Here is a 16,516-nt window from a genome sequence, read left to right as displayed (position 1 = left end):
GCAGATCACCTGAGGTCAGGAGTTTGAGACCAGCCTGGCCAACATGGCGAAACCCTGTCTTTATAAGAAATACAAAAATTACCCAGGCATGGTGGTGGATGCCTGTAATCCCAGCTACTTGGAAGCCTGAGGCAGGGAGAATTGCTTGAACCTGGGAGACAGAGATTGCAGTGAGCCAAGATTGTGCCACTGAACTCCAGCCTGGGTGATAGAGCAATATTCCATCTCAGAAAAAATATATAAATAAGAGAAAAAGGACACTAAGTCCTGCTAAATCTTAAACACTGACAGTAATTAAAGCCCCATCTACAGACCTGGAAGAAAATGACAATAAAAATTCATCATACTCTTAAGACATAAGGCCAGAAATTGAAACTACTCAACAACTCCAGGCCCAGGGACTATTACAGAAGTGGATTTGTAAGATTGTAAAAGCTAATTTTGAGATATAATATTACTTGAGAGTTTCTTTATAAGTTAAGCATTAATATTAAATGCACACTAATGGAAGTCTAGCATCTGGGCCCCTGTGACAGATTGACAAGGGTTTCTTGAAGAAGTAATCCACTCTTTAGCTTAAAAAATTATTAAAATTTATAAAAGACCTATGAAAATTATATTTTATGGTAAAAGTAGTTATAATTTAATAGACTTATTTCTCAGAATTGAGAGATAGTTTTAATTTTTCTCATGATGTTCTTATAAGGGGTTATTGTTTAGAAAATTAATTCTTTCAAAAATAAAAGTTTTTGCTTTTTTAAGAAATCACTGAGTTTTCACTTGGCTAAATAAATAACTTACTTTACAATAATCTGTAATTCCATTTTGTAATATCAAGTGTTCTAAATAAACCTTTGATATTTGACCTCCTTCACAAAATAAAAGTCTAAATTCAGTCATTTGACCTCATTATTCTTTTTTGATATTTGATCTCCTGAAGCCAAAAAGAAACATATTTAGCTTCTTTGGTACAATTAAATTATACTGGAAGCAATGTCAAATTTGAAATGGTGTTTAACTTTGGACTATATTTATATAAATGTGGACTATATAATTGGAGTATATTCATATAAATTAAAGAGTACATGTTCTAAAATGGTATGAGGTTCAATTGACTTTGATATGTCAGTATATTTTGTCAGTAGTACTTATGATTATTATATAAAATTTTTGTTCATCACAGAAATAACCAAACTTTCTCCTCAATTCTGTCTTTAACCGTGGCTATTCTAAAACTTCAGCCATCCACAATTGTTTTCCTTTGATTCTTTATCAGGTGGCTTATAATAATCTATAGAATTTTGAGGGGTACTCTTAAATACACAATTGTGACAATTTTATAAATTGTGCCATTTATATACAGAGAAAAACTTCCAAGACTCTCATGGAGACCTGATGCATTTATGATGGTTGTTAATATAATGTCAAACAGGACAGGACTTAATTGCATGAACTGAACTAACAGGAGCCTGAAATAAATTTTATGGCTTATTCTTTAAAGCATTTGCTAATTACTTACATTTTGTTTTTCAGAATCAAAAAAAAAATTCTCTTAAGCTATTCATTGTTTTTAACAATTGAGTATAGTATATTCTAGTGAGAAAATTCAAAAACACAATTTCTTCTTCTCTACATAATTTCTCCAAAATTTGGAAACTGTGAGTATTGTTATATCAAAATATTAATTCACATAGGTTCAATATAAATCTGCTTTCTTCCGTAACAGGGCACAATTGGAGACAATGATCATTTTACCAAGACTTTAACTTGAATGACATATTTTCATATTTACTTTATAAAATGAATTTAAGCTGGATAGCTGATAAAAGCCCCTTGGGAAAACTGGCATGTAACCTGTTTTGTTCAGGGCCCTGAGCTGTAGTAAGTCAATAATTTTACTTTCTGACAGACCCAGGAATCCCAAGTTGTCTTGGAAAATTGAAAAAAGAAGAAGTAACCCAATTCATATAGCTGTCTGAAGGCACAGATGAAACAATGTCTGGGCTTGATGCTTTTAAAGATTCTACCCTTAGATTTCTTATAAAAAATTTCCAGCAAGGTCAATTTATGAATTAAATAGCCTATGTACAAAAAATAGAAAAAAAGAGAGCTAATATGTTAAATTACTATTTTTGCCTCATCTTATACAAAAAAATTAAGCCTAAAACTTATATTACAAATAAATTTGCCCTACTATGATTGTGTCTCTAATAACTTTGGGGAATTATAGAGAGAAATACTGTTTCAAAATAAACAACAGTGCATCTGTTATTAGATTCTAACCTTGTCCACTTGTTTTTCAATTTATATTATTTTCTACAATTTATATTAGTTTCTACAATTTATATTAGTTTCTATAAAAATTTATATTTGCAGAAGCCTCCAAAATATTTTTCCTGATTTAAAATTACCAGAAGTTAAACTGTGCTTTCTTATAGCTAGACATCTTATACTCTAAAGAAAATAAAATCAATGACATGATTTGGCTCTGTGTCCCCACCCCAATCTCATCTTGGATTGTAATAATTCCCACATGTCAAGTGGAAAAAGGTGGGAATAATTGAATCATGGAGGCTGTTTTCTCCATGCTGTTCTCCTGTTATTCTCACAAGATCTGATGGTTGTATAAGGGGCCTCCCTCTTCCCTTGGCACTTCTCTCTTGCAGCCATGTGAAGAAGCACGTGTTTGCTACCCCTTCCATCATGATTGTAAATTTCTTGTGGCTTTCTCAGCCACGCAGAACTGTAAGACAATTAAACCTTTTTTCTTTATAATTTACCCAGCCTCAGGTATGTCCTTATAGCAGCATGAAAACGGACAAATGTAAGCAACTTAATTATATACAAAAACTCTTTTATACCTGCCTACTGTGAAAGGAAAATAAGTCTTGAGACCGCAAAATCACCAAGCTAAATGGAAGAGTCAAACTGGTGTTACAGGAGATAGAAAGAAATTATTTTGGTAGATAGTTAGGATGACAGAATTTCTGGCAAAAACATTTCTTCTAACAAAAATCAGCTTGGCAATTACTTATTTTCTATTCACACAGAGTTCAAAGAAATCACTTCTAACAAAAAGCAGCCTGAAAGATCAGGCTGTAAAACATATAAGCAACTCTGCCACAGAGAGGGTGTTTCTGGGTGTAATCACCAAACTTCACATACATACACTGGGCCCTAGTAAAAACAGTGGGCCTTAATGAGCACATTCCTTTCCTTTTCTGGGGGCACTATAACATCAGAAAGCTGGAAACTTGCACAAGTTTAGGATGCCTGCACTTGCAAGGAGGTACCTGGGACCTAGCATGGAAAATCCTCTTCCCCTTTTTAGCACTCTGGGAGTGGAGCCCCAGCCTTGGGATTCCCAGGTGTTTCCCTTCAGTGATCAGGACTGAACACACACAACTCATCATGCAGTTTGTGCTGAGCTGGGTTTTCCTTGTTGGTATTTTAAAAGGTGATTCATGGAGAACTACAGATGTTGAGTGTGAGTGGACATGAGTGAGCAAAACAGTGGGTTTGTGTGGCAGTTTCTGACCTTGGTGTCTCTGTGTTTGCAGGTGTCCAGTGTGAGGTGCAGCTGGTGGAGTCTGGGGGAGGCTTGGTACAGCCTAGGGGGTCCCTGAGACTCTCCTGTGCAGCCTCTGGATTCACCGTCAGTAGCAATGAGATGAGCTGGATCCGCCAGGCTCCAGGGAAGGGGCTGGAGTGGGTCTCATCCATTAGTGGTGGTAGCACATACTACGCAGACTCCAGGAAGGGCAGATTCACCATCTCCAGAGACAATTCCAAGAACACGCTGTATCTTCAAATGAACAACCTGAGAGCTGAGGGCACGGCCGTGTATTACTGTGCCAGATATACACAGAGGGGAAGTCATTGTGCGCCCAGACACAAACCTCCCTGCAGGAACGCTGGGGGGAAATCAGCGGCAGGGGGCGCTCAGGAGCCACTGATCAGAGTCAGTCCCGGAGGCAGGTGCAGATGGAGGCTGATTTCCTGTCAGGATGTGGGACTTCATCTTCTTCCAACAGTTTCTCTAATGAACCTCCCTAATTTTAGAATTCTGTGGTTCCTAATGTCATCTCTACATATTTTCAAAAGATCATTTTAATATGAGGACATAACCTCTCATGTACCAAATGCACATTGATGCTTACAAAGATGAAAAGTTCTCAACCATTGTCACCAGGATCGCAGTCCTGAGGAAGCTCACGGGTGTCTGATGAGTCTCCTCCATTCAGGCCCAGGACAGAAACCTCAGGGAGACTCCTGGACTAGAACGGCAGGGATTCTGATCACAGCCAATAGAGAGCCTGGGCCAGGGTCAGTGTCCTGTAGAAGCTCACAGGGTTCACATCTGACCCTTCTCCTGACCCTAAAGCCAATCCGCATCAGCACTGATCTGGTGCTCCTTTTGCTCCCAATACATGTTCTTTCTTTGGAGTGTTTGTTCTCCCTTTTTTATTTGCTTTTCTTTCTTCCTGAAAAAGAAACACATGGTCTCTATGCTCTACACTCCAGGGCTCAAGGCATTTTCTTAGAACTCAGGCAAGGCTCAGGCTTGGCTACTCCAGCCCACGTGGGAGAGGCTGATGGGATTTCCTTCTCTCCCCATATTCTCAGGGCCCTCCTCTGTGTTGTGTGTAGACTCATCTGGGAATGCAATTGGCCGTTAATAGTGAAGGGGATAAACTCATTTGATCAAAATGGGATGTGGATGTGGAATTAACCCTGTTCTATGCACACTGTCAGAGTCATCTTCTTCAGAAGTAGTGTTAGAAAGAGCTTGTGAACTTTATCAGAATCAAAATGGATCCACTTGTGTTAAAACCCTAATGAATGAAGCTGGGGAAGGCCATGAAGGAGGGTTCTAACACACATATTCCTGATAAGAAGAACTATCATAAATAGACCCTGCACAGCCACAACCTTTTACACAGAGGCCACCACAGCCTTAAAAGCTTTATTTCTCCAAGTAAATCTGCCCCGCAACTGCCTATTCAACCTTACACCGCTATCTCAAAATAGCTGCTGTCACCCTCCTCATTTTTCCTTAATTCTCTTTTTTATTATTTTTTAAATTATACTTTAAGTTCTAGGGTACATGTGCACAAAGTGCAGGTTTGTTACATATGTATACATGTGCCATGTTGGTTTGCTGCCCCCATTAACTCATCATTTACATTAGGTATTTCTCCTAATGCTGTCCATCCCCCTTCCCCCAACCCCACTACAGGCCCCGGTGTGTGATGTTTCCCACCCTGTGTCCACATGTTCTCCTTAATTCTTTATCTTCCTTTTCCTACCTGAATGTACCCATACATATTTTAATTGAAACGCACATCCTAGAAAAAATATTATTATACTTTAGAGTCTCTGTCTGTTATTCAGGTTGACATGACAAGCTACAGACGGACATGCCACTTTTCTGTGAGACATAGAGGATGACAGTTTTTGGAGATGTCTAGGAATATCCAATGTCCATAAGATCAGCCATCAATAAGTGCAGACTGGAGGTCCCAGAGAGAGGCGAAGCTGCTGAATCATCGTGGAATTTCATTTTCTCCAGTTCTGCTCTGATGGAATCAGGCCCACCCATTTTATCAATGACAATCTACCTAACCTAGAGTCAGCTGATGACAGTATTAATATCATCTATTAAGTAAAGTCATAACTATATATATAGTGAGAGAGGGAGAGAGAGAGAGACGGAGTCTCGCTCTGTCACCCAGGGTGGAGTGCAATGTCGTGATCTTGGCTCACTGCAACCTCTGTCTCCGGAGTTCGAGCAGTTCTCCTGTCTCAGCCTCCTCCCAGTATCTGGGAATACAGGCACACACCACCATGTCCGGCCAATTTTTGTATTTTTAGTAGAGATGGTGTTTCACCACATTGGTCAGGCTGGTCTCAAACTACTGACCTCAGGTGACCCACCTGCCTTAGCCTCCCAAAGTGCTGGGATTACAGGGGCAGGCCACCAAGTCCAGCTAATTTTTGTATTTTTAGTAGAGACCAGGTTTCACGATATTGGTCAGGCTGGTCTCAAACTCCTGATCTCAGCCTCCCAAAGTGCTGGGATTAAAGATGTGAGCTACTGTGCCCGGCCAACACCACCTATATTAATGTTGGATTGAATAACTACAAAGTCTACCCTAACCAAGTGTACCATCAAACTTACCATTACCCAGAGGAAAGAATCTTTAACATGAGATCTATATTCTTAAATGTTTTAAGGTGTAAAACTGACCACAGTACAATCACCCAATTATGATTTTGCTAATGAGTTGTAGAAACTGCATGTATATTTTGGATATTAACACTTTTTCAGATGCACACCTTATAATTATATTCTCTCATTCTGTAGGTTGCAATTTTTTCCACACTTTGCGGCATCTTTTTGTTGTGATGTAGTTCTGCTTGTTCAATTCTGCTTTTATTATCTGTGACTTTAATTTGAAATATAGAAAATCATCCTTTTTTATATACTTTAAATTTTAGAGTACATGTGCACAACATGCAGGTTTGTTACATATGTATACATGTGCCATGTTGGTGTGCTGCACCCAGTAACTTGTCATTTAACACTAGGTATATCTCCTAATGCTATCCCTCTCCCCTCCCCCCAACCCACAACAGGCCCCGGTGTGTGATGTTCCACTTACTGTGTCCATGTGTTCTCATTGTTCAATTCCCACCTATGAGTGAGAACATGCGGTGTTTGGTTTTTTGTCCTTGTGATAGACTTCTGAGAATGATGATTTCCAGCTTCATCCATGTCCCTACAAAGGGCATGATCTCATCATTTTTTATGGCTGCATAGTATTCCATGGTGTATATGTGCCACATTTTCCTAATCCAGTCTATCATTGTTGGACATTTGGGTTGGTTCCAAGTCTTTGCTATTGTGAATAGTGCCGCAATAAACATACGTGTGCATGTGTCTTTACAGCAGCATGATTTATAATCCTTTGGGTATATACCCAGTAATGGGATGGCTGGGTCAAATGGTATTTCTAGTTCTAGATCCCTGAGGAATCGCCACACTGCCTTCCACAATAGTTGAACTAGTTTACAGTCCCACCAACAGTGTAAAACTGTTCCTATTTCTCCACATCCTCTCCAGCACCTGTTGTTTCCTGACTTTTTAATGATTGCCATTCTAACTGGTGTGAGATGGTATCTCATTGTTGTTTTGATTTGCATTTCTCTGATGACCAGTGATGATGAGCATTTTTTCACGTGTCTTTTGGCTGCATAAATGTCTTCTTTTGAGAAGTGCCTGTTCATATCCTTCGCCCACTTTTTGATGGGGTTGTTTGCTTTTTTCTTGTAAATTTGTTTGAGTTCATTGTAGATTCTGGACATTAGCCCTTTGTCAGATGAGTAGATTGCAAAAATTTTGTCCTATTCTGTAGGTTGCCTGTTCACTCTGATGGTAGTTTCTTTTGCTGTGCAGAAGCTCTTTGGTTCAACATACTCAAATCAATAAACAAAATCCAGCATATAAACAGAACCAATGACAAAAATCATATGATTATCTCAATAGATGCAGAAAAGGCCTTTGACAAAATTCAACAACCTTCATGCTAAAAACTCTCAAAAAATTAGGTATTGATGGGACGTATCTTAAAATAATAAGAGCTATCTATGACAAACCCACAGCCAATATCATACTGAATGGACAAAAACTGGAAGCATTCCCTTTGAAAACTGGCACAAGAAAGGGTTGCCCTCTCTCACCACTCCTATTCAACATAGTGTTGGAAGTTCTGGCCAGGGCAATGAGACAGTAGAAGGAAATAAAGGGTATTCAATTAGGAAAAGAAGAAGTCATATTGTCCCTGTTTGCAGATGACATGATTTTATATCTAGAAAACCCCATTGTCTCAGCCCAAAATCTCCTTAAGCTGATAGGCAACTTCAGCATAGTCTCAGGATACAAAATCAATGTGCAAAAATCACAAGCATTCTTACACACCAATCACAGACAAACAGCCAAATCATGAGTGAACTCCCATTCACAAGTGCTTCAAAGAGAATAAAATACCTAGGAATCCAACTTACAAGGGATGTGAAGGACCTCTTCAAGGAGAACTACAAACCACTGCTCAATGAAATAAAAGAGGATAAAAACAAATGGAAGAATATTCCATGCTCATGGGTAGGAAGAATCAATATCGTGAAAATGGCCATACTGCCCAAGGTAATTTATAGATTCAATGCCATCCCCATCAAGCTACCAATGACTTTCTTCACAGAATTGGAAAAACCTACTTTAAAGTTCATATGGAATCAAAAAGAGCCCGTATTGCCAAGTCAATCCTAAGCCAAAAGAACAAAGCTGGAGGCATCACGCTACCTGATTTCAAACTATACCACAACGCTACAGTAACCAAAACAGCATGGTACCGGTACCAAAACAGAGATATAGACCAATGAAACAGAACAGAGCCCTCAGAAATAATGCCGCCTATCTACAACCATATGATCTTTGACAAACCTGACAAAAACAATAAATGGGGAAAGGATTCCCTATTTAATAAATGGTGCTGGGAAAACTGGCTAGCCATATGTAGAAAGCTGAAACTGGATCCCTTCCTTACACCTTATACAAAAATTAATTCAAGATGGATTAAAGACTTACGTGTTAGACCTAAAACCATAAAAACCCTAGAAGAAAACCTAGGCAATACCATTCAGGACATAGGCATGGGCAAGGACTTCATGTCTAAAACACGAAAATCAAGGGCAACAAAAGCCCAAATTGACAAATGCGATCTAATATGAAATTCTTAATGAGTTCTATAGTTATAAGTACATTATTTCTCCTTATTAAAACTAATCTTTTTTGCTGAATGGGTGGAAGATGGTGGCTTCCCTCCAAAAGAAAACATAGTTGGTTCTGTAAAGAGTTCACCCATTTCTTCCACTATAGGCCTGCCCTGGCATAATACAAGCTCCCAACTTAAGAACTTATGATTTTCCATCCATGGGAGAAGCCATCTTTTCCATCTATTATAAAAACAGAAGACACTTCATTAATATCACTCCCAAAATAGGCTATGTCATATCCAGTGAGGTAGGATGGCTGACAGTGGTGAGAATCCAAGTAATTGGTCAAGCACTGCTATGTGTGAAGAAACACCACAGCATACTCTACACTGTCACTCATGATATGGAATTGTTGCCTCCTCAGCAATGTAACTGAGCCCTTAATATGTGGCTGGGATGACAAAGCAATGCCAGCCTGCAGAGTGGAACCTGTTCTTCCTTCTGGGATTAGCCAAAGGCCGGTGGCACTCATGGCTGACCCTACTTTCCTTACAACTGGACGAAGCGAAGCAACTGGATATGAACTTCTATCCCAGGATGTAACTGTCCAAAGTGCCTTCTCTTTATGTCAACTGGAAAAGTGTGAAAGACAGACACTATTCTCATAAACGGATATCCTAGTTATTCCACCCACTAGCCAGCTCTTCCCCCCAGGTGGCAGTCATAGATTTAGAATTGCAAGTAGAGGCCCTGGCTAAGCATACCACCAGTCCCTTTAACAACACCTACCATACCATCATCATTCTTACTGAAGAAACCTCACAGATTTGACAAGTGACACTATGAAGCTATATGACCCTAGGTATTGCAACTACAGCCAAAGGTAACACTTGTGTATTAATGAACCCTGAATGTTGCATATATATACAAGATTAGTCCCACAATATAACTCAAGCTATGCAAGCATTAGATACCCATATTTCTGCTAGAGATGGATGCCCTCTCTCAGGACCCTGCGACAGCATGGTTTAGTTGACTTCCTAACACATGGAAGACTTTCATATATAGTAGAGCTGGTATACTCTTCATTGCTATCTTCAGTTGCTGTGGATTTTATTGGTACCTTGCACTTTAAGTGAGAATGTAATACTGACCTTCTCAAAAACTCCTAGGTCCTTGCACCATAATGCTCCAACAAACACCTACTGTAATTCCGGAGACTCCAGAATATTTCCAACTCCAGTTTAATGGATTCCCTTCCAATATATACAAGCTATGCCCTTTCTAAGAAGTAGCCAGATTGACTATGACACACGTTTTCCATAGAAACAAAATGGAATTTGACAGTGGGGAATGATATACAGGCAGCTTAATTTCAAAATGCATTTTAAACTTATTTTTTGAGGTTTTAATATTATTTTCATACTCCTTGAAACCTGAAATTTCACACTTACATTCTAATTGAGACTTAATAACAAATAACCAGAACACATGAATTGCCTGTAATCTCTATACCTTGTATTGTAAGCCACATTTCAAGTGTAACCTTACTTGTCAGCACAGTATGTTTACCATAGGCATAATTGCTTGTCCTGACTGTCCAGAAGGCAGGGTGGTATTAAGTATGCGGCCTCTGGAGCTGGGAAGTCTGGCTTTGTATACTGTCTCTGCCACTGCTAACTGAAGGACAATGGGCCAGTTACTTCCTGTACCCCAGTTTTGTCATATGTAAAGTAGGGTTGTTGTAAGAATGAAATTAGTTAATATTTAGTACCTAACAACTAGTAGGCATTACGTGGTAGCTATTCGTATTGCTATCGTCAGAGAACACACAGGAGTCCATTGTTATTTTTACCCTCCCCCTCCAAACAAAATGTGTAAGACACTAGACATGGTAGCTCTGTAACGGGGTTCGTCATGTATTAAACTGTGTACCCAAATGATATGTCAAAGTCCTGACAACCAGCACTTCAGAACACGTCCTTATTTGGAAATATGGTAGCTGGAGATGTTATTAGTGAAGATGAGGTCTTACTTGAGCAGGGCAGGCCCTCAATGTGGGAAGATGGGTGTCTTTCTAAGTACAAGGAAATTTGGACACAGAGACAGAGACATACAGTGTGCCATATGACAGCAGAGGCAAAGATCAGAGTGGTGCAGCAGTAAACCAATGCATGTCCAGGATTACCAGTCACCTCCACAAGTGAGGAAAGGGCAAGGAAGAAGTCTCCTGAGTCTCAGAGGGAGTGCAGCCCAGCTCACACTTGATTTTGGACTTCTAGTCTCTAGAACTGTGAGACAATACAGTCCTGTCATTTTTAAGCCACCCAGTTTGTAGTATTTCATTTTGGCAGCCCTACGATATTCATACAGAGTTCTTCACCCAAAAGGAAGCACTCTTTCTCACAAACAGTCAAAGTCCTGGATGACGGACAACCTGGAGATTGCAAACCTCCAAGGAATCAAAGGAGGTTCTATAAAGTCTAGGAGCCCCATCTTTCAAAGGCTGCTCCTCAAGTCCACACACACACTTTGGAAGGAGAATCCTGCTCTTGGACATGGGATCCTTAGTGAGCCAACTGCCAATAATCCAACATCATCATGAATTAAAGATCTCTGACATTTCCTCGTCACCAACGGGAATTCTGTCAAGTAGTAAGTAAAACCCTTCTTCAGGAATCTCCACACCAAACAGTTCTGCATGGCTTGGGACGCCTCAGGAAACTTATAATCATGGCAGAAGAAAAAGGGGAAGCAAGGCAGTCATACATGGTGGCAGAAGAGAGAGGTTAAACTTTTCAGTCTCTCTTGGGTGTAAAGATACAATCTTGAGGCAAACAGCAGAATCAATTTTCTTATGCCTTGAAATTCTCCCTTTCACCATAAATATTCCCTTCACATTAATCTAACTTTATGTTTGCATCGAACTATGTGCCTTTTTGGAAGTTCCGGAAGCTAATTTGAGACAGATAGACAAAGTCGGGAGACCCTGATGCAGAATTCCAGAGGTGACTTCAATGTTGCTAGTTAACAACCCAGGCATTGCCCAGATGATGCCAGCCCAAGATCCAGGTGGACTGGGATGCCAGAGAGCTGCCAGAACAAGACGCACAGACCTGGTTCTCAGCCCAAATCTTGCATGCCTTTCTTACCAACTTTCCCTTTTTTAAACCCCTGCCTTTCCTTCAAAATTGAAGTGGTTGCTTGGGATGGGAATGCGTTCACTTCCCCTTTACCATTATGGTTAATACAATAATTTTTGTACCAGATCTCTCTCTTGTTAATTGGATCCTGCAGGTGGCAGATTCCGGACCAGAGTGACGTTAGAAACTGAATGCACATACTGGGTGGTTCACAGACACAGTGTTCTGTGAAGTTTATGGGTGGATTCCTGGGGAAGCCTGCAAGCCTGTTAGTGATTAGCAGAACCGCATCCAGCTACTGGGATCTGCACGCCAGGTGCCGTGAGCCCCTCACCATGTTCCCTGGTCCCAGCTGCCCGCGGATGGTTCAGCCTTGACAACGGGCTCGGTGTTCTGGGTGGTGGGAGAGCAAGGGGGCCCCTTGGGCAGCGTGCTACAGGGCTGTGAATCCAGGGGCCCACCCGGTGTTCCCTGTGGAGTCACTGAGGGAATGAGGGGCTTCTCAGGGCACAGAGCTGTAACGCCTTTGTGCAGTGGTGGCTGAATACAGTGACACTGGGCGCGTGGTGAGAAGCGGGGCAAGGTCAGTTCACTGGACCCTCCGCCCTGAGCCTCAGATGAGTCGGGGGTCCCCAGACAGGCCCGGCCTCTGCCCTGCGGCGGACACTGGAGCCTTTGCTGTGGCCGCCACCGAGGAGCCTTGACCTCAAAGCAGCGGGAACCTCTCTACCCACCTCGGAAACCTGAAGGCAGCGGCGGCCTCTCCCAGCCAGGACCTCGCCGGCCTCCGCGTCTCCAGGCCCAACCCTGTACCACATAAAGGAAGTCCGCGCTGAGCTACCGGGACACAGCGCCGTTGGGTGGGCGGGCGCGGCGCGGCGGGAAGCACCGGGGCAGCTGCCACAGAGATGCGCGGGGACTGTCGGGAAGTGGGCGGTCCGGGAGGCGCGGGGCTGATGGGACGTGGGCGGTCCGGGGACGCGCGGGGGATGGCGGGACGTCGGCGATCCGGAGATGCCAGGGGGCAGCTGGGACGTGGGCGGTCTGGAGAGGCGCGGGGGCAGCTGAGATGCAGGTGGTCCGGGACGCGCGGGGGCTGGCGGGTTGTGGGAGGTCCAGGGATGCGAGGGGGCAGCTGGGACGTGGGAGTTCCGGGGACGCGTGGGGTCGCCAGGAAGCGGGGTCTAGGACTTAGATCCGCCTTCTCTTCAGGCCATGCAGCCCCGAAGCTCCGAATCCTGGGATGACTCCTGTCCATGTTGGAAGGGACCCTGCCAGTCCTGGCAAGGTTCAACGGCCTTAGGGCAAGAAATGTTAGTAGAGTCCTGGAAGACGATGTGGGGAACGGGTAGCGGCCACCGGATGGTGATCGTTCTTCTACAAGACCTTGACATGGATGGGGAGAAACAGAGAAGAACCTTCCAAGTTTGTCCCACTGGACATGCCCACCACACTTTACCAGCCCTTTCTAGAAGGCCTGTGCGTAACACATGAAAAAGCTGCTCTCGACCTTTCCCTGACCTTTTAAAAGAAAACATTTGCTGCATCTAATCCGCCTAGATGTAAGGAGGTTCCCAAATGTATGACAGAGTCAGACAATTACATGTCTTGTAAGTTACCATGTGCTTGTCTTTTGTTTTCCGTTTTTTTTCGTTTTTTTGTTTTTTGTTTTTGAGACGGAGTCTCACTCTGTCGCCCAGGCTGGAGTGCAGTGGCAGGATCTTGGCTCACTGCAACCTCTGCTTCCTGAGTTTCAACAATTGTGCTGCCTCAGCCTCCCGAGTAGCTTGGATTACAAGTGTGCACCACCACGCCTGGCTAATTTTTGTAGTTTTTAGTAGAGATGGGGTTTTGCCACGTTGGCCAGGCTGGTCTTGAACTCCTGACCTCAGGTGAGCCACCCACCTTGGCCTCTCAAAGTGCTGGGATTACAGGTGTGAGCCACCGTGCCTGGCCGTAAGTTACCGTGTGCTTTTTAAACAAATCATAGCAAAGGGGTGTCTTCTGGAAATGACATTTTGAAATGGAGTTACTAGACCACCCCTGGAAGGGACACAGTAACCACACGTCCACGTTCGTTCAGTGGGTGAGAGGACATGGAGGGGAGACCTGGGCAGGAAGGGAAGAGGGTTCCATGCCAGGCTGCTCATATTTAAAAGACATTTTCATTGTAGGGACATGGATGAAATTGGAAACCATCATTCTCAGTAAACTATCGCAAGAACAAAAAACCAAACACCGCATATTCTCACTCATAGGTGGGAATTGAACAATGAGATGACATGGACACAGGAAGGGGAATATCACACTCTGGGGACTGTGGTGGGGTGGGGGGAGGGGGGAGGGATAGCATTGGGAGATATACCTAATGCTAGACGATGCGTTAGTGGGTGCAGCACACCAGCATGGCACATGTATACATATGTAACTAACCTGCACAATGTGCACATGTACCCTAAAACTTAAAGTATAATTAAAAAAAAAAAAGAAAAATAAAAGACATTTTCATATCGTTGTCATTGTTTTCTTGTGTGCATTTTATTCCTCGCTATTGTATACATCATTGGAAATTCTAAGTATTCTTTTGAAATATCTAGTCTTTCTAGATGTTCTGAAGTGCCTGATGTATGTTAAAATTACAGGTGGTAAAATAATAAATTTTGTAAATGTCTTTTTGTTAAAATTCATATGCAGTGTTTTATTTTATTTTGATGTTGGTGGGGGGTGGGGAGGATGGCCAAATCCCTGCTTGATCAACACACATTGCGTTTGTGCTCTGGTTCAGGGGAGGAGAGAGGAGGAGAAAGTGCAGACTTCCAGGCCTCTGTGCGCACCGGGAGGAGAGATTAATGATCATCTCTTCTGTCTGTGTGTTTGTTTTATTTATCTATGGATATCCTGTGTATAAAGGATGAACAAGTCCTATTTATAACATCTAATCTTTTCAGGTGTTAAGTTGCCAGCGTATGACGGAAGTAGCATTATTAAACGAATGCAGCTTGTACATATTGTGTTAAAATTCATAAAAAGCCAGTCTTCTGAAAAGAACCCTTGGGCCCTCCCTCCGCAGCCTCCGGCGCCAGCTGCAGGAAGACCTGGCCAGGGGAAGGCGGGCGGCAGAAGCTGCTGCTGGCTGTGGGGAAGGCGGTGGAGCCCAGGCCTCCACAGGCTCCCCACAGGCTCCCCACAGGCTCGCGCGGCTCTGGTTGCTGGGCTCCGCACGGGCCGCGTGGGGGCGCCTGCTGGGAGCGAGGAGGCGCCATCCTGGCTCGCCTGCTCCAGGAGGACGCTCTGGGCCTGCGCAGATGCAGTTCTCCAGGATGGGCGCGGGCGCTGGGGGCGGCGCTCCTTGGGCTGCTGCGCCTCCACTGAGCCGCCTGGGTGTGAGGACCTCGCGCCGGCGCCTCCGGGAAGGACGCGGAGCCGCCGCGGCCGATCCCAGGGCTGCAGCTGCTGCCCGACGCCCGCGGGAAGGCCCTTCCGCCACCGCCCGGGGGTTCGAACTTGGAGCAGCTGCTGCCAGCTGAGGCGCCAGCGGCGTCGGGAGCTCCTCAGAGTCAGTGTTTTGTGCTGGATTCGGCATGTCCTCTGAAAACTCGGGAATTTGTCACTGAAATGGTGACAGGAGGTGAGAAGTTTTTTTAGACGTTGCCTTCGCTGGCCTGGCGCGGGGCTCAGGCCTGGAATCCCAGCACTTTGGGAGGCTGAGGCGGGCGGATCGCTTGAGCTCCGGAGGTGGAGAAGCTGCCTTCGTGGTAACTGTGGTCTTAAGTTCAGCTGAGAACGATAAATGGCTTTTCCTTGAATTGGCTGCTTTTGTGATTTCTCTCAGGCTCATCTTTTGTCAGTTAAAAATCCAGTGGTAGGTGTAGCTTAGAGACGGGAAATTTTTGGTTTTGTTTTGGCTACACGTAAGTGTTGGAAATTATTTTCTTTTACGTTCCAGTGTGAGCAAATCCAGAAGGATGTCAGATTAAACACCGAATTTAACAAATTCAGCCGGGCACGGTGGCTCACGCCTGTAATCCCAGCACTTTGAGAGGCCGAGGCGGGTGGATGATGAGGTCAGGAGTTTGAGAACAGCCTGACCAACATAGTGAAACTCCGTCTCTACTAAAAATACAAAAATTAGCCGGGCGTGGTTGTGCGCGCCTGTAATCCCAGCTACTCAGGAGGCTGAGGCAGGAGAATCGCCGAGATTGCGCCACTGCACTCAGCCTGGGCGACAGAGCGAGACTTCGTCTCAAAAAAACAAAAAAAAATCAATCATTGGAATACTGTTGTTCATTACAATTAATGAACGTTTGATAGACGCATAAACGAACTAAATTCACAAGTACATATAAGTAAAATAAGCCAAAAAAAAAAAACTACATCCCGTATGATGACACTTTTATACATTCTACAGAATAGAAACTAAAGTGATATGAAGGTTGGGAGTTGAATGGAGAAAAGGTGAGCGAAAAGAGGGAGGACGGAGGAGTTGCAAGAGAACAAGAGAAAATGTTGAGGGTAATTGATCTGTTTTCTATCTTAATAATGGTTATGGTTACATCAATAATTTCTAAATTGTACATTTTGTGTGTTAATTATAATTT

At 43.2% G+C, this 16,516-nt stretch overlaps 1 long non-coding RNA gene, 1 gene segment (V, D, J or C) and 1 further gene; 2 read left to right on the top strand and 1 right to left on the bottom strand.

Moving 5' to 3' along the window:
* Window positions 1-12,830, bottom strand: part of LOC124903400 (uncharacterized) — a 45,163-nt gene extending 32,333 nt beyond the window's left edge. The window contains exon 1 of the long non-coding RNA XR_007064371.1: window positions 12,653-12,830. This is a non-coding gene — a long non-coding RNA (uncharacterized LOC124903400). The remainder of the gene's footprint in view (window positions 1-12,652) is intronic.
* IGH (immunoglobulin heavy locus) overlaps window positions 1-16,516 on the top strand; it is a 1,293,408-nt gene that overhangs the window by 465,490 nt on the left and 811,402 nt on the right.
* IGHV3-38 (immunoglobulin heavy variable 3-38 (non-functional)) lies at window positions 3,412-3,861 on the top strand. The segment is given in 2 exon segments: window positions 3,412-3,457; window positions 3,561-3,861. Coding segments are annotated over 2 exon segments (347 nt in total), but the record flags the coding sequence as incomplete, so codon positions are not given.

Source organism: Homo sapiens, chromosome 14 (genome assembly GCF_000001405.40).
Source record: "Homo sapiens chromosome 14, GRCh38.p14 Primary Assembly".
Taxonomy (NCBI): domain Eukaryota; kingdom Metazoa; phylum Chordata; class Mammalia; order Primates; family Hominidae; genus Homo; species Homo sapiens.
The sequence above is the reverse complement of the archived record's forward strand: the minus strand, read 5'-3'. Positions and strand labels throughout refer to the sequence as shown.